Raw genomic sequence first — 19,374 nt, forward strand, 5'->3', positions numbered from 1 at the left:
TGACATTTTGAATTGACCTTTTGTCTCTAGGATAACTCAATCTAGGTCTGTAATTGAGTCAGCCTTTTAACCTGGTAAAATAGAACCCATCAATTATTAGTGGAACTTCTATTTACAAAGCCTCAATTGTGATCTAAAGGTGCTGTCATAATCTGTCCTCGACAGCATCATTACTCAATGTGTGACTAGTGAGTGCTAATAATTCCTATCAGGAAACTGGTCAAGAGACAGCCACTCTGCCAGGCTCAGTGCTGAAAGCTGGAGATCTAGTCAGGCTTCCTGGATGTGTTATTCAGCCAAGCACTGTGACATTTGCATATCTCCACTTACATTCATGATCCTTTTTTACACTTAAAAAAAAAAATTCCGGTTTTAAGAATGCAAGCTCCTTGAGGACAGACTGTGTCTGGTATTTTTGTTGTTGTTTGTTTGCCTGTTTTAATTCTTTTATCTCAGAACCTAACAAAGTAACAAATACTCATGTGACATACAGTAGCTGAAATGTTCCACTACACTGAATTTATTACAATGTTATGTTAATGCTACATTTATTTCAGCCCTTTGTGTCTCAGTGTTCCATTTCTAATTTTTGAAAGTAACTTTTAAGTCATTGTTCCACTGAGAGCTAATGTTTCAAAGAAACTTGAAATTCCCAAGATTAAAATTATTGTAAAAGAGCTTTTTTAATTATTTTGATGCAAAGATATTTTCCAAGGTTATTTTCTACATTCGAGTTGAGAAGAGAACCTAAGCCCATGAAGTGTCTGCCTTTTCCTCTTCCCAATTTATTGCCGCAAGGAATCCAAATGGGAGAGGGGTTATAGCAAGATAATAGTAACCGAGAAAAATTGAATCTAGAAGAGGAATTAAATCTGGAAGACTCTAAGAAGAATCAATCTGGAATAAAAGGTACAACTTTACTCAAGGATTTTATTTTTGAAGCAGCACTAATGAAATTCAAGAAAAGGCATCCTGCTCCATATCCTTGCATCCCTACCCTAGCGACCAAAACACCAGATGGACAGGCTGAAGGCAGATTAGCTGGAATTACTGCCAAGTGCAAGTAACCAGGCATGTCGGTGGTACTCCAGCGAGCCTAAATAAATAGACCAAAAGAACCAAAAGTACCCAGCAAAGTAGTGGAAACTCCCACATTTTATTCATGACTCTTATCTGTAACTCTTTCTTTGCTTCTCAAATGGTTAATGGGGTCACTTATGAAAAGTATGGAAACCTAGTCCATTCAACTCCCATGCCAAATTCTTCCCATAGACTACTCCAGTCCATTCCATATTCTTTGTCTTAGAAACAGATTGGAAAAGAATAAGGTATCTGCGGAGACTTCCAGTAAATGAGATTTTTGCTTATTGTATCAATATGATAGTCTGAAAACTGACAAACACTGAGAGAAGAATTCTTAGTTGTATGAGTTTTTTCCCCCGAAAAATCAGTGGATTTCTGCCTCCCTGGGAGAAAAAGATGAGGTGACACTAGCCATAATAACAGGAGAACAATAGGGGCAGAATGCTTCCCTAGAAAATGGGAAGAAAGAAGTCACAAGACAATGTGTCATTAAGAAATCCAGATTCATCTTAGAGATGTATCCCACAAGGAGGTTATACTGGGTGACACAAGAAAATTTCTAGCCTCTACTCTGCACCAATTATTTCACAAATATTTAAAAGTACAAAGTTTATGTCAAGAAAAGAAATTCTTACTTCATGGAGCAGAAATACACTGGTAATAAAATATTGGCAAATATCTCACTCTCACTAAAATGGGTAGTAAAATTTGTGAATTTAAACATATTTAACAGTGGTGTATATTCACTTCTGGAAACTAGATACATGGCAGGCTAATTGGAGATACTTGATTTATATTAGTTTCTGGAAAACTTTGGGGCCCACCCTAAATTAATGGCTTTCTGCTACCATCAGAGACAAAATCCTTGGCAAAATGGGCCAGGAACATGTCCCCAGTAAGTGAATTAAATACTTTCACAGACACTCTCCATCTAGTAGAACAAATTTGGAATAATTGCAACATTCCTGTCACCTACATGAGCATTAAGTACTCCTCTCAACACTGCCATGTTACCCGCACTGCGCTGTAACATCTAACACACCATTTAGAAATCGCTTGGTTCTGGTTTGTCACCAGACTTAGGAGAGATATATCTCACTGTAGAACCAGTGCCTATCATGTGCTTGGCAAAAATAAAAATAAGAGAGGTGTTATTATGGAATACTATGCAGCCATAAAAAAGAATGAAATCATGTCCTTTGCAGCAACATGGATGCAGCTGGAGGCTATTCTTCTGAGGCAATGTATGCAGGAACAGAAAACCAAATACCACATGTTCTCACTTATAAGTGAGAGCTAAACATTGAGTACACATGGACAAAGAGGGGAGCAACAGACACCGGGGCTTACTTGAGGGTGGAAGGTGGGAGGAGGGTAAGGATCAAAAAACTTTTATCAGGCACTATGCTCACTACCTGAGTGACAAAATCATTTGAACACCAAACTCCAGTGACATGCAATTTACCTATGTAATAAACCTGCACATGTACTCCCTAAAAAAAAATAATAGTTGGAAAAAAAAAAGGTGTTAAGGAAATGTATGTTGACTCAATGTTGACACTAAGAAGATTTTATGGCGAACAAAAGTAATTATGAAAATATAATGCGTTCTATGAAAATTAAAAACATGCCCATAATTCTTAAGATGCTTTAATACATAAAGCTCAATAACATTTTTGTCTTTAGCTAGGAAAAGTGTGAAATGTATAACTTTGATCACGAAGTTAGAGTATTAAATATAACAAAATGTTCCCAGAGTTTGGCTGTACTTGTTAAGTTTAGAGTGATTTATATTTTAGTTTTTATATAGTTCAGTGTTATTCAGATTTTTAAATATGACTGTCCAATAGCATAAGGAAAAATATAATTAATCATATGAAAACAAGTAAAAAGGGAGAACATTTCAGAAGTAGTAGATGATCCTGAAAAGTAATAAAGTATTGCATTAGAGAGCTTTTTTACTAAAATATAAATCAATGTTTGGAATTTTCCTATTAAAAGAATAGTTACATAATTTGTGGCTAAAAATGTTGTTAGTGCCAAATGACTCTATTCCAAGTCAGAAGACAACTCCATATTGATTTAATAACCTGTATTGCACTATAAGACTAAAATTTCAGGCTTTAAAAACTAATGGGACTTCTTTGCTTTGCCAAATTACTGGTTTATTCATGAATCATATTTTCTCCTTACAAATGCTATTGAGTTTTCCACAGGGAAAGGAAAATACCTTCCAAAAAAACTCTCTGACTGAAAAAAAAATCTCAATAAGCTTCTTTCTGTTTCCTAGAAAAATCTCAAGTCAGCATGATTGTTAAATTACAAATAATTGTGTAATTCTTGGATGGAAAACAGTCATCATAAGTACCTAATTTTATATAAATCAAGATCTACAGGAACTAATTGCATTACCTTTATTTTTCCATCAATTGGTCCTAAAATATTTTGGAAACCTACTGTTGCAGGAATTCATTAAATGTCAAAATATTCAGACATCAGCAGGTACTAAGACACACTAAAATGGATAAACAGAAATGCTCATCAACAGTTTGGACAAATCGAATTTGAAATTAAGTCTTTATAGACCTTAATTAAATCTCCCTTTTGTAAAACTTAGGAGCAATGAGAACATCCTTATTTCAATTTCAGCTTCCTAAACAGTATCCTGACATATAATTCTTTCTAATCTGTTGTGCTATTATTAAACATTCCAAGTAGTTAAATCTCCAGAAAACACACACACAAAACTACAACTGAAACAAATCTTAACTATCCAGATATTTTGCTTGCATAGCAACAAATATCCAGGTATTTCAAATGCACAATGCTAACAATGTTAAACATTTTTGTCTTTGACAATTGTTCTAAACTTCAGTACTCTTCTCTTTAAAATAGATACAATAATAGATACAATAATCACGGTTGTCTAAGTTACTACTAGAATTTTTGTGAACATCAGTTCGCACAAACCCCTGTAAAGAGTTAGTAAAGCTTACTGTACTTTATTTATTATACAGATAGCTTATGTTTCATGGTGCATATATGGTAGCAGTGCAATGTAGTAGTAAAGAGCATTAACTTTATTAAATTATTAAACTTTATTAAATTTAAATATGAATTTAAATTCTGCCTCTGCCATTGTTATTCTTTTTTAACCCTAATTCATATTTTTATTGATTCATGCAACATAAAGTTTCCATTTTAACCGCTTGTAAGTATACAATTCAGTGGTCTGAAGTACATCCATGTCATTGTGCAATCATTAGTATCATTCATCTCTAGAACTCATTTCATCTTGCAAAACTGAAACTCTATACCCATTAAACAATAATACCCATTCGTTCTTTCCTCCTCCCAAACCCTGGTAATCACCATCCTACTTTCTGTCTCTATGATTTTGACTAATCTAGTTAACTAATATAAGAAGAATCATATATTATTTATCTTTTATAAATGGTTTATTTCATTTGGCATAATGTCCTCAAAGTTGATCCATGTTGTAGTATATGTTAACATTTTCTTCCTTTTGAAGGATGAATAACATTTCATTGTATGTATGAACCACATTTGGTTTATTTATTCATCTATTGAGTGGTTACATCTATGCTTTAGTAATTCTGAATAATTCTGATGTGAAGATGGGTATATAAATATCTTGTGGAGACCGTGTTTTCAATTTCTTTGGGTATTTGGATCATATGGTAATTCTGTTTTTAATTTTTTGAGAAACTGTCCTACTGTTTCCCACACTGATATGTCATTTTACATTCCCACCAACAGTCCATAAGGGTCCTATACGTTCTTCATATCCCCACCAACACTTGTTATTTTCTGCTTTATTTAATAGTAATATTCCTAATGAATGTGAGGAGGTGTCTCACTGTGGTTTAATTTGCATTGTCCTAATGAATAGTGATATTTTGCATCTTTTCATATGCTTATTATCCATTCAAAAATCTTTTTTGGAGAAAAGTCTGAATAGACTCTTGAATAAGTCCTTTGTCTATTTTTTAAATTGGGTTGTTTGTTTTCTGTTGTTGAGTTTTGGGAGTTCTCTATATGTTCTGGATATTAATCCCTTCTCAGATATATGATTTCCAAATATATTTCTCATTCTGTAGGTTGCCTTTTTACTACATGGATAGTGTCCTTTGATTAACAAAAGTTTTCAGTTTTTATGACATGCAATGTGTCCATGTTTGCTTTTGTTGCCTGTGCCTTTAGTATCATATCCAAGAAATCTTTGTGAAATCTAATGTTGTGTAGATTTTGCCCTATTTTTTCTCTTAAGGGTTGTATAATTTTAGCTTTTATATTTAGGTCTTTGATCCATCTTGAGTTAACTTCTATACATCAGGTTAGGTAAGGTGCCAAAGTTATTCTCTTGCATGTGAATGTCCAATTTTCCCAACACCATTTGTTGAAAAGACTGTTCTTTCTCCATTGAAAGGTCTTGGAACTCTTGTTGAAAATCATTTGGGCATGTAGGCAAGGGTTTATTTCTGGGATCTCTACTCTATTCCATTGGTCAATATGTATGGCTTTATACAAGTACCATGCTGTTTTGATTACCATTACTTTAAAGTAAGTTTTGAATTCAGGAAGTGTGAGTCCTCTGCCTTTGTCCTTCTTTTTCAAGATTATTTTGGCCATAGTGTTTAACTTAAGATTCCATATGAATTTCAGGATGAATTTGTCTATTTCAGCAAAAACTTCATTGAGATTTTGGTAAAGATTGCATTGAATCTGAAGATGACATTGTATGACATCTTAACAGTATTACATTTCCAATCCATGAACATGGGATGCCTTTCCATTTATTTATGTCTTCTTTAATTTTTTTTTTTTTTTTTTTAGACAGAGTCTCACTCTGTCACCACACTGGGGTACAGTGGCACGATCTCGGCTCACTGCAACCTCCACCTCCCGGGTTTAAGTGATTCTCCTGCCTCACCCTCCCAAGTAGCTGGGACTACAGCTGTGTGCCACCATGCCTAGCTAATTTTTGTATTTTTAGTAGAGTTGGGGTTTCACCATGTTGGCCAGGATGGTCTCCATCTCTTGACCTTGTGACCCACCTGCTTTGGTCTCCCAAAGTGCTGGGGTTACAGGCGTGAGCCACAATTTCCTTTAGCAATGTTTTGTAGATTTTGTACACATCTTTCACCTCCTTGGTTAATACCTAAGTGTTTTATTACATTTGATGCTATCATAAATTAAACTATTTTTCTAATTTTCTTTTCAGATTGTTCATTGTGAATGTATAGAAATGCAACTGATTTTTATATGTTGACTTTGTATTCTGCTACTTCACCAAATTCATTATTAGTTCTAACAGTTTTTTTTGTGTGTGGAATCTTTAGTATTTTCTACTTATAAGATTATGTCATCTGCAAACATATTCATTTTACTTCTTTTCTAATTTAGGTGTATTTTTTTTTCAAATTTATTTCTTTTACCTATTTTCTCTGGTTAGAACTCTCATGCTACATAGAACAGAAGTGGGGAAAGCAGCCATCATTGTCTTGTTCCTGATATTAGAGAAAAAGCTTTCAGCCTTTCAACATTGAGTATGATCTCTGCTGTGGAATTTTCATATACAGCTTTTAATATGTTATGGTTGATTCTTTCTATTTTGATTGTTTTGAGTATTTTATCATGAAAGTGTGTTGAGTTTTAACAAATACTTTTTCTGAATTAAATGAGATTATCATGTGGTTTATTTTCTTCGTTCTGTTAATCTGATATATTACATTGATTGGTATTCACATGTTGAACCATCCTTTCATTCCAGAAATAAATCCCAGTTGATTATAATGTATAATCCTCTCAATATGCTGTAGAATTTAGTCTGACAATATTTTGCTGAGGATTTTTGCTTCAATTTTTATAAGGGACATTGGTTTACTGTTTTCTTTTCTTGTAGTATCTTTGTCTGTCTTTGATGTTAGGGTAATGCTGGCCTTATAGATTTAATTAGGAAGTGCTCTCTCCTCTTCGTTATATTGAAAAATTTTGAGAAGTATTGGTATTTGATTTTTTTTAAGTGTTTGGTACAATTCACCAATGAAGCCATCAGGACCAGGGCTTTTGTTTATTGGGAGATGTTTTTATTACTGGCTCAATCTCCTATTATTGATAGTTTCTATTACTTTGTACTTTAGTCTTGAGAGGTGTTATGAATTGAATTATGCACCCTCCCATCCCCCCCAAAAAAAATCATTTGTTGAAACCCTAACTTTGATGTGACTGTAATTGGAGGTAAGGCCTTTAGGAGATAATTAAAGTTAAATGAGATCACAATGATGGGGTACTAATGAGGTTAGTGCATTAATGGAATTAGTAGTCTTATAAGAATTGAGAGAGAGAGAGAGATCTCCTTTAAGCAAAGAGGAAAGATCACAGGAGGACACAGTGAGAAGGCTGCACCTGCAAGCCAGGAAAAAAATCCCTCACCAGGAATTAAATCAGTTAGCATCTTGATTTTCAATTGACCAGCCTCCAGAACTACAAAAAACATTTTTGTTGTTAAAACCACTCAATGTATGGTATTTTATTGTAGTAGCTTAAGTAGACTATTACAGTAGTTTTTATGTTTTTACGAACTTGGTCATTTCATCCAGATTATCCAATTTGTTGGCATATAATTTGTCCATAGAACTCTCTTGTAAACATTTTATTTATGTACAAAAACTAGTAATATGCCTACTTCAACATTTTATTGTAGTGATCTGATTATTGTCTATTTTGTTATTAGCCAATCTAGTTAAAGATTTGCCAATTTTGCTAATATTTTTGGAAAACCAATTTTTGTCTTCGTTCACTTTCTCTATTTTTTTTTAGTTTCTATTTCATTTATCTCTGCTCCAATTTTTCCTTCCTTCTGCTAGCTTTCTGCTTACTTTGTTCTTTCTCTAGTTCCTTAAGTTTTTAAGTTGTTAACTTAAGATTTTTAAATTTAAGCATTTATACATACAAATTTTCCCTTAGCACTGTTTTTGCTGCATCATAAAAATTTCAGTGTGTTGTGCTTTAATTTTCATTTATCTCTAAGTATTTTCTAAGTTCTCTTGTGATTTTTCTCTTTGAACCATTGTTTATTTAAGAGTGTTCTTAATTTTCACAAACCTGTGAATTTTCCAGTTTTCTTTATGTTATTATGTTATTGATTTTTTTTAATTTTATCCAATTTTGGTCAGAGAAGATACTGTATATAATATTTATTTTTTTAATTTATTAAGATTTAATTTGTGGTCTAACATATAGTCTGTCCTTGAAAATGTTCCATGTGCATGTAAGAGGAATGTTTTCTGTTGTTGTTGGGTAGAGTAGTCTGTCTATATCTGTTAAACCTAGTTGGTTTGTTGTGTTTTGTAAGTCCTCTATTTCCTTACTTATCTCATCTGATTATTCTATCCTTTGTTCAGAGTAAGATATTGGCACTACCTCCTTCCCTCTTCAATTCTGTCCACTTTTGCTTTATATGTTTTTTAATGGTCTGTTGTTGAGTACTGTTTGTAATTGTTATATCTTCTTGCTGTGAAACATTTATTGACATATAATGCCTTTCTTTGTCACTTGTAAACTTTTTTTATTTACAAAAAGTTAAATTACAAATTATTTTTGCAATAATACTAGCATTTATAATTGTCAATGTATTTACCTTTACTGAGACCTTTATTTCTCTGCATGACTTTGGATATTGTCTACTGTACTTTCCTTTCAACCTGCAAGACTCCCTTTAGCATTTTCTTAAATTTTAATAGTATATTTTACTTAATCCCATATATCTATATTATCATTTCAACAAGTAATCGATGTAAATTTCTTAAATCATGTACCACATGATATTTTGAAGTATACATGCATTCTGGGATGGTTAAATCTAGCTAGTTATAACTTCTGTAATGAAAACACAACATTCACTCTCAGCATTTTTCAATAGTACCATATTTCAATATTAACTATAGTCACCATGTTGTACAATAGATCTCTTGAATTTATTCCTCCTAACAGTAATTATGTCTTCTTTGATCTATATAACCTCAACCCCAATTCACCCTAACCACCCCAGCCTCCATTCTATTCTCTACTTGTGTGAGATCAATTTTGTAGATTTCTCATTTGAGTGAAATAATATGGTATTTGTCTTTCTGTGCCTGGCTTATTGCACTCAACATTATGTCCTCCAGGTTGACCCACGGTCACAAATGACAGGACTCCCTTCTTTTTTATGGCTAAGTCGTATCCCATTGTGTATATATACCACATTTTCTTTATCCATTCATATATTAATGGACACTGAGATTTATTCCATATCTTGGTTATTGTGAATAGTGCTGCAATAAACATGGGAACGTAGCTATCTCTTCAACATATTTATTTTGTTCCCTTTGGATATATATACCTAGTAGTGAGATTGCTAGATCATATGTTAGTTGTGCAATTAGTTTTTTGAAGCACCTCCACAGTGTTTTCCATAATGGCTCTACTAATTTGCATTTCCACCAACATTGTGTGAGGATTTCCATTTCTCTCCATCCTTGCCACCACTTACCTTTTGTATTTTTTGTAATCATCATTCCAACAGGTACAAGCTGATATCTCATTGTAGTTTTGACTCGCATTTCCCTGATGATTACTGATGTTAAACATTTTTTTCATATACCTGTTGACCATGTGTATGCCTTTTGAGACATGTCCATGCAGGTCTTTTGCCCATTTGTTAATTAGGTTATTTGCTTTCTTGCTATTGGTTTGTAAGAGCTTCTTATGTATTTTGGATATCAGCCCCTTATCAGCTGTATAATTTGCAAATATTTTCTCCCATTTTGAATGTTGTCTTTTCACTCTGGTAATTTGTCTCCTGCAGTGTGCAGAAGCTTTTTAGTTTGATGTAATCTTATTTGTCTAATTTTGTTTTTGTGGCCTGTTTTATTTTTTGAGATGGAGTCTCGCTCTGTCACCAGGCTGGAGTGCAGTAGCCAGATCTTGGCTTACTGCAACCTCCACCTCCCAGGTTCAAGTGATTCTCCTGCCTCAGCCTCCCCAGTAGCAGGGATTACAGGTGCATGCCGCCACACCCAGCTAATTTTTGTATTTTTAGTAGAGACAGGGTTTCACCATGTTGGCCAGGATGGTCTCGATCACTTGACCTCGTGATCTGCCCACCTCGGCCTCCCAAAGTGCTGGGATTACAGGCATGAGCCACCGCGCCGAGCCCTGGCCTGTGCTTTTAAGGTGATAGCCAGAAAATCATTGCAGAAACCAGTGTCATGAAGCTTTTTCCTATGTTTTCTTTTAGCATTTTCATAGTTTGGGGGTCTTACATTTAAGTTGCTAACTTACTTTGAATTTATACTTTATCTGGTGAAAGATAAGGGTCTCATTTTATTCTGCTGCACGTGGAAATCCAGTTTTCCCAACATTATTTATTGAAAAGACTTCCCTTTCCCCATTGTGTTTACTTAGCACCTTTGTTGAAAGTCACTGAGATATAAACTTAAGGTCTTCTCAGGCTTTTTTCTGGCCTGTGCCTCTCCCTCGGCTTGTTAGTGACTTTCTGATTTTCCTTGTATATGCAGTTGCTTTTGAATATCCTAGTCTTTAATGTCTGACCCCCAAAAAAGGATAAGAAGGAAAAACAAATGAAGTAGGGGGGAAATGGTCCTGGTAATTTAAATTCCCTGGAAGTTGCTTCAGCTATAGGGAAAGAAATTTGTAATATTCGGAGGTGAGGGGGTACAACAATGACTATCTGCCTTTGTGTCTGCCTTCCATGATCAGAAGCAACAGTCAGCACTCAGAACACAGGTTCTGCTATTTGGATGACATGGTTCTTATTGCCTACCCTGGCTCCCACAAGCTGCATGCAAGCTGCTCCTGCAGCTCATGCACTGCCTCCCACCAGGCTCGTGTGGGAGATAGAAAACTGTTAGCCAGGTAAGAGCAGAAATTAACCAAAATAAACCAAGTTTACTGTCAAGCATTCCCCTGGAAGTTGCAAGCCTTCCACAACACTCCAAAGTTCAAAAATATTTACAACAGACAGACTATGCCAATGCAGTTTTTATCTAGATGGGGAGACAGATTCTTGATGCTTCTACTCATCCATCTGCCCAGAATCTTTGCCACTGTTATTTAAGAGGTGCATCTTGAAAGGCTGTGATGAAGATCAAGTAAGAAAAATCCAAGTAAACTCTTTAGAGCAATGCCTGGCATTCAACAAATGTTGGCTCTAATTATAATGCTCAAAAACAGTATCTATCTCCATTATTATTTAATTTGTTTTAAAGATAATTTTTTGGTAATATCTTCGCCACTTTACATTTATGGAAATTGGGACTCAGCAACTTGACTAACATCACAGACACAGTTCTCAGATTTATATATCCTAATTCCAAACCCAATATTCTTACTACTAGAATATGCTGGACCGTTTTACTCCTAACTTGGTTAAGAAGCCAAATATAGGAGGAAATTAACAAATCAAGGTAGTTTTAGTTACTCATTGGTCTGTGGGTTCACAGCATTTTAATGGAGCCAACTTTGCTCTTAAGATGAGTAAGCAGTTGGTATGACTCAGGAATCTCTAAGAATGTTTCTACCTTAAAAGGCAGGTTTTTGTTTCTTAATCCTTTAACAATTAATATTTTAATTAAGGGAACATTGGATAGACATTGTAAGGTGCAAAATACCTCTAGAAGGTATTGAAAATACTCACTGTAAGTATAAGCCATTTGATTACAACTGAGCAAGCAGGTCTTCACTTTGATAACTTCTAGACCTAAAGACCATGGTTAACTGATATTTGAAGGTATGGAATGCATAATATGGAAAGAGACTTAACCTAGATCATGGTGAAGATCCAGCTAAAGGCACAGTGTGTAGTCATAGCTGCTGAAGGAAGGAAGCAGCTCATTAAAAAGGTGAGATGGTATCCAACACTAGCTTTCATACCCCCAGGTCTGCCTGAGGTGGGTTTCTGCCTGCTACAGATAGATGCTGGATAAGTATATATGCCAAGATTTCAGTGAGGCAGCAGCTGATGTAGCTACAATGCCCCCTAAGTGGCCTGTACCCATCTGTCAGCATCACTGGAAAATGTCTAATGCTTCCCTCTAATTGCTGATTTTTGTCAGCTTGCTCATCATGAAGCCTGATCCTCATTTGTTATCTTCAAGTACACTCTATTATCCATGCTCACCAGCGAAAACCCCCAGGAATATCCCTGTAGTTTTAAAAAAAAAATAGGTGTATTGATCTTGCTACAGCAAGGAATACAAAACACCCAGGGATTTCAGTTTATATTTGGTGATTTGGGAAAGGATTCAAAGAAACAAAGGTCTATCTAGACAGTGTGCTGTCCTAAAGCAAGAGAAATCTGATGAATGAGCATCAGTAATTTTTTATCTAGGAGGAAGAATTAAGCATGTAAGGCTAGAGTTGTCATTGAGCAGTGGTCAATGACAATAAGAAGCAGTGGTTACTTAATGTTAACCAGGAAAGGGAGATGCTTGGCATTTTTATGGTTGTGGGTGATTTTGGTTTTATCTCTTTTCCAGGCATGGTTACAAAGTTAACTTGTTTTTGTCTTGTTGCATCACATCATGGAGAGTCCTCATCTGATGTTTATATTCTATGGAATTTTGTTCCACAGAGGAATACCACAGACTGATGGTTAGCAACCAGGCTGCTTCCCAAAAGCTGTCAGGGACTTTTTTTTGGTCTTTCTCGCAATTACTCAACTATTATATACTGTCCCTTCTCCTTCTTTGGCAATAGGAGAGGGATAAAAATGAGAATCAACGTGGGAATGGTAAGATAACAAGAGCTGGGAAGGTATGGTTTATTCTTATTGGAGGGAAATCTCCTAAGAATGTGAGATGATCAGGAATGTCATAATTAAACAAATATATAAATGTGGCCGTTAGGATCAAGAGAATGCATCATGTTGCTCAGGCATAGCAAGGTAGGCAGTTGAGTGCAGATTGAAGGTGGTCTCTGAACTCCAGAAGCTTATAAACCAATAGATAAAACAGATACTACTACTATAATCATCACATATGTTACATAGCACTAAGATTTCATGTGCAAGAATGCAAAAGGTTGAAATGTATTTTCAAATTCATTGATAGCACAAGATTTGCTTTTATTCAATACTAAAACTAAGTACTTGCTTAAAGTGAATGCAATCTTTCATTTTCAAGATAGCTAATTGAGAACAAGCATGAGACTCCACTCCTGGTCCCCAAGCTCCAGAACACAATAGAAACTATTTTTTAGAGAATATAAAGCAATAAATCAATGGACAGTCATACATTAGTTTATGAAAATGACAGAAAAATTCTTACTAAACAATGTGATATTTTAAAGGGCCCTATTAAAGGTTATTCCTGTTTTCTCTGCCATTTTGAACCAACTGAGAGATAAGACAAAATGAATTAACAACGTCACTACTGATAAATATCTTTATGATGGAAAGTTGTGCAGTAACAATGGCTTCCCAATTCTAATCCCAGAATGCAGCATACTCAACCACCTGATTGCCTGCTTGAACCACTGGTGACCTCTGCACACGGATACCAGCCCCTTTAAAATTTAGAAAATAGAGTACTTTTATGTTTTCCTTGGGAAGCTGAATCTCAAAGAAAGAGAGAAATGGAGAAAGCTATATATATCCTATTCTTTAAACATATAAAATAGCTAAGTCACTCCTCCTTTTGAAAGGAGTGAATAATGGAACTGAGAGAAATCAAAGCAGAGAAATGGTGGATGACTTTACTCATGAAACATGAACTCAGAAGAAAGGAGGTTCTCCCATTGCAGATAAACTAAGATGCTGAAAGAATACCTGAAACTAAGAACAGCCAATATAAGCTGCAGGTAGTGGAGCAAACTCCACTGATGTTCCATAATGAGGCAGACTTCCACAGTGGTAGCAGGCATGTTAGTTTACTCTTTTATATCTTCCAGGCTAGACATAAGCAACAGTGTCCTCATGCATACTTAGGGCAGAGATACTAGGCTATACCTGGGAAACTAGCACTTCTCTACAGGATTAGAAGGAAAGATAAGTAATCGAAATCAGATGACCAGCCACTAATGTATTATGTCTACTGCAAGCCATCTCATCCTCTGTTTTTATTGAAAACTGCATAGTGTGTAAACTCAGGAGCTAATTCTAACCTTTATCCCCAGCCAGGCTGCACAAGCAGAAGCAGTGAACAGTCTACCAGGGAATATTAACTTCAAGGATCATCTCAAAGCCAATAATCATCACACTGTTGAAGAGTGACTGCACCAGGAAAGAGACAGGGCAGCAGTGGGAACACAGCAAACAGAAGAATTTACACTTGAGGAAACAGAATAAAAAAGCAGTCACACAAGGACTTTAAAATAAGTCATATCAGGCATGGTGGCTCATGCCTGTAATCCCAGCACTTTGGGAGGCCAAGGCATCTGGGTCACTTAAGGCCAGGAGTTCAAGACCAGCCTGGCCAGCATGGCAAAAACTGGTCTCTATTAAAAATACAAAAATTAGCCAGTGTGGTGGTGATCCCAGCTACTCGGGAGGCTGAGGCAGCAGAATCATTTGAACCTGGGAGGTGGAGGTTGCAATGAGCCAAGATTGTCCCACTGCACTCCAGCCTGGCCAACAGAGCAAGACCCTGTCTCAGAAAAACGAATGATAATAAGTCATATTTTACATCTTCAGATAGATAAAAGAGAGAATTTTTTCTATGAAATAGGAGGAAGCAATTCAAAAATAATAAGAGATGGTTATTAACAAGCAAAGCATAGCAACCAAATTCCCAGACAACCTGGGTTTCAATCCTGGCTCTGACAACAATCACTAGTTGGATGTCTCCAGGGCAAATTACTTAACCAATCTGTGTCTTCATTTTTTCATCTGTAAAATGAAGATAGTCATAGTATATACCTTATATATGTGGTATGAGGATTAAATAATTTAGCATTAGTAAAGCACTCTGAACAGTATCTGACACATAAGTGTTTGTTAAATAAACGAACAAATTGGAAATTCTAAAAATAACAACTTTAATTTTTGGCGTTCAGGATTTTATGGGTGAGCCGAAAAGCAGAAAGAGAGAAGGCGAAGAGCATGTTAATGAGCTGGAAGAACATAGAAAATGGGATGGAGGCCAGGCACAGTGGCTCACACCTGTAATCCTAGCACTTTGGGAGGCCGAGGCAGGCAAATCACCTGAGGTCAGAAGTTCAAGACCAGCCTCGCCAAGATGGTGAAACACAGTCTCTACTAAAAATACAAAAATTAGCCAGGCGTGGTGGTACACTCCTGTAGTCCCAGCTACTTGGGAGGCTGAGGCAGGAGAATTGCTTGAACCTGGGAGGTGGGAGGTTGCAGTGAGCTGAGATCATACCAGTGCACTCCAGCCCGGAGGACAGAGCAAGACTCCAAATAAAAAAAGAAAAGAAAAACAAACAGAAAAAAAAGACAAGCAAAGAAGAAAAGAAAATGGGATGGAAATGGAGAGTATGAAGAAACACAAAAGATACTAGAAGGATAGACACGGAAAAACTAAAATGTATCTATTAAAGGTAGAGAACAAAAGCAATGGAAGAGAGGCAATATTGGAAGAAATAATAGCCCCAAACATCCTATAACTAAAGAAAGGGATGAGACTGAACTGATGTCTCTGTGTTCCAGGCACAATAAATATTTTTAAAAATTCTTGCCACATTTTAATAAAATTCAGGAACATACAAAAGAGATAAGATTGCAAGTACTATAAGAGAAGAGAAAATGATATTTTTAAAGGGAATAGAATAAGAGTTTTCATCAACACACTTGGCACAAAGAAGACAATGAATAGAGTAACATTTTCAAAGTGAACAAAAACTACTTTGAAAATTAAGCCAAACTAGCTCTCTTAGAGGTTACATCCTCAACTTACACTAGAAACATGCTTTTTAGAGACATTGAAGTAAATAGCAAAATAATCAGTTACAAGTATTGAAAATGATACGGTGAGCAATAGGAATGAGACAAAGTAAAAAGAACTGGCATTTTTCATTACAAGGATGAAATTATGTTTTTGTACCCTTTTCATAGAGATTAAATCTGTTTTTTATATAACCAACTAAAATAAGCACTTTTTTTTTTTTTTTTTCCAGACGGAATTTCACTCTGCTCCCAGGCTGGAGTGCAGTGGCGCAATCTCGGCTGACTGCAACCTCCACCTCCCAGGTTCAAGCAATTCTCCTGCCTCAGCCTCCCGAAGAGCTGGGATTATGAGTGCAGGCCACCATGCATAGCTGATTTTTGTAATTTTAGTAGAAATGGGGTTTCACCATTTGGGCCAGGCTGGTCTCAAACTCCTGACCTCAAGTGATCCACCCACTTCAGCCTAAAATAAGCATTTCGAGTGCTCCTATGCAGAGGGCTTGAAGACTTGGAAGACTCAACCCCACCTCTGAGAGACTTCCCATCTGTTAGAGGGAGGAAGGGTGGAACAGTGAACACATCTGGGGAATCCCAGTCTGTCATTTACTGGCTTTACAAGTTGAGGGAAGGGAGCTGATCTCTCTGAGCCTTAGTTTTCTTGCCTGTAAAATGGGGATGATGAAATGCCTACCCCATCAACTTTATGAATTACTTAGTGCAATACTTGGCATGTAGACAACATTCATTATCATTACTCTTCTTCTCATGTATAAGGAGATGCTCGAAAAGGCTATCTCCATGTAGTAGGATTTTACTTTATTTTTATGTTATTCTTTGTATTTTCCTGTATTGTGTATTTATACAGTAAGCATGTATTATTTTTACAAAGTTTACAAAATGCACCCTGTAAAAGAATCAATATTTTTAAATTATCGGAAGAAAATTTCAGAGATCATTTTTAATAACCTCAGAATAAGTAAGACCTTTACGAAAAACATGTACAAACACACCCACCACAGGTAGTCAAAATGTAATACTCCTAAGGGACAAAAACACTATGAATAAAGTTAAACAATAGCAATCTTTGAGGAACTATTTGCAGCATATATCTTAAATTTTTATAAATCAGTGAGAAAAAGACAACCTAATAAAAATGGTCAAAAAATAAATTCATAGACGAGGCAGTACAATTAACCCAGAAATAGATGAAATTATTTTCAACCTCTAATTAGTATATTGTTAATTGAAACAATAGTGGCATATTACCTATCATTCATAATATTGGTAGATATGGCTAGACACGGTGGCTCACGCCTGTAATCCCAGCACTTTTGGAACTGGTCATCAAGAACTCCAAAATCTCCCCTGTAAGAACCACCACCTTTCAGACCAGCACCTCTTCCTTTCCAGATCCTGAATCTGACACCTCCCCCAAAACTGAGCTCTTCAATCCATCATCCTAACTCCTTTTTTATAAACTACAAATCTCAAATGAGCACCTAATACTGCCAAGCAAATGTTTCTTTGCTAAATTTACTTTCCTGTTCTCTTCTCTTCTAGATCTCTCACATTTTCTTCTCTATCATTTCCTTTCATTGATACTTCCGGGTTTTATTTTATTTATTCATCCAACAAATATTTATTTTGTTCCTTTCCAATAGAATTCAGGTCCATGAATGTGGATTCTTTCTTGAAGTTTTGCTGAAAAGTAAAATAGAAATGAAAATTATAAAACATAAAAAATTGCGGTTAAGAGAGGGCTTTCAATGAAAAAAAATAAAAGCAGGCAAAAAAGTCCTCAATAGATCTACAAGCCTTTTCTGTATCTGTGCCCATATTTTCAGTCTTCATGCCAGTAATAATCAAGAAGAGGTCAACCAATCCACATGTGCTCCAAACCCCACCCCCTTTCAGTTTCTCAGGGACATTGCACATACTCTATTTTCCCTGCTTCTTCAAGTTTCCATTGCTACAACATAATTTAATAGCACACATAAATTCTCTAGTATATCAAATCATAAGGGGGTGGTTTCTGGGATTTGTTTTGTTTTGTTTTTAGAGACAGAGTTTCACCATGCTCGCCAGGCTGGTCTCAAACTCCTGGCCTCAAATGATGTGCCCACCTCGGCCTCCCAAAGTGCTGGGATTACAGGCATGAGCCACTATGCCCAGCCTTCAAGTCATGTTTTTTAAAAAACAAAATAAGGCCGTGTATGGTGGCTCACGCCTGTAATCCCAGCACTTTGGGAGGCTGAGGTGGGCGGATTGGTTGAGGTCAGGAGTTCAAGACCAGCCTGGCCAACATGCTGAAACCCCATCTCTACTAAAAATACAAAAATTATCCAGGCGTGGTGGCACATGCCTGTAATTCCAGCTACTTGGGAGGCTGAGGCAGGAGAATCATTTGAACCTGCGAGGCGGAGGTTGCAGTGACCCGAGCTAGCACCACTGCACTCCAGCCTGGGCGACAAAGTGAGATTCCATCTAAAAAAATAATTAATTAATTAATTAATTAACTAAAACAAAAGAAATTCTTTCTTGAACTCACATGTCTCTCTTTCCCTCTTCATACCAAAATATCTCTAAAGAGTTTTCTAAATCATTGGCTTCCAGATCCTCACACCCCATCTACTTTTTTTTTTTTAACTCATATCTATTTATCATCCAACCCTACCACTCCAAGGAATTTGCCAAGGTTATTAACAGGTATTTTGCCAAAGGCAGTGAACATATTTCTGTTACTCAGTCTCTCTGCATTCCGCAAATTTGACCACTATAGACTTCATGATAATCTTTCCTCTTTTGATTTCCTTAACCCTAGCTCTGGGTTTCTTGCTTAAATTCTCTGGCCATTCCTTAGTTCCTCTACCTTTCTCAGAGCTTTAACCTAGTCCCTCTTCTCTTCTGTGCATATACTTTCTCCTTAAGTTTTCTTCCTCAGTTCCATGCTTTATAAACTACCCATATGTCAACTACTCCCAAAGTCACACTCTAGCCCTGTCCTCTCTTCTAAACTCCATATTCCAACTGCCTATTTAATTTCCTTACCAGTTACCTAATAGGTACTTAGCAAAAATAAGAAATAAAAATAATATCCATTGCATATATTCCCTTTCAGTAATTCCTTTTTATACTGCAGGTCTGTTACCCTTAACACCAGACTATGAGAGTAAGCCTGTATTCCCAAGAAAGGGAAAAAGAACCCACAGGGAGAGCAAATGACTGTCAATTCCATTATAGAATTTTGAAAGCTTTAGCTTTAAAATGCAAAACTAGATGATGAAAAAGGAAAATGTTTTTAATGAATTCTGAAATCTTGGACTTAATTATGAAAAACACATCCTAGGCTGCATGTGGCAGCT

General features: G+C 35.9%; 1 protein-coding gene across 21 annotated transcripts in view; it reads left to right on the plus strand.

The window, feature by feature from the left end:
• The window catches only part of OPRM1 (opioid receptor mu 1), a 236,372-nt gene that overhangs the window by 48,736 nt on the left and 168,262 nt on the right, over positions 1–19,374 (plus strand). Inside the window, exon 2 of one of the 21 annotated variants that reach the window (XM_047418837.1) lies at positions 16,243–16,315. The exons of 19 other annotated variants lie outside the window; for them this stretch is intronic. In XM_047418837.1, coding sequence (XP_047274793.1) covers positions 16,243–16,315 — 73 coding nt within the window. Of the gene's footprint in view, positions 1–14,283; positions 15,563–16,242; positions 16,316–19,374 lie in introns of those variants that run through there. One more of the 21 variants, XM_017010907.3, reaches the window with a different exon arrangement.

The sequence above is a fragment of the Homo sapiens genome, chromosome 6 (genome assembly GCF_000001405.40).
Source record: "Homo sapiens chromosome 6, GRCh38.p14 Primary Assembly".
In the NCBI taxonomy this organism is placed as follows: Eukaryota; Metazoa; Chordata; class Mammalia; order Primates; family Hominidae; genus Homo; species Homo sapiens.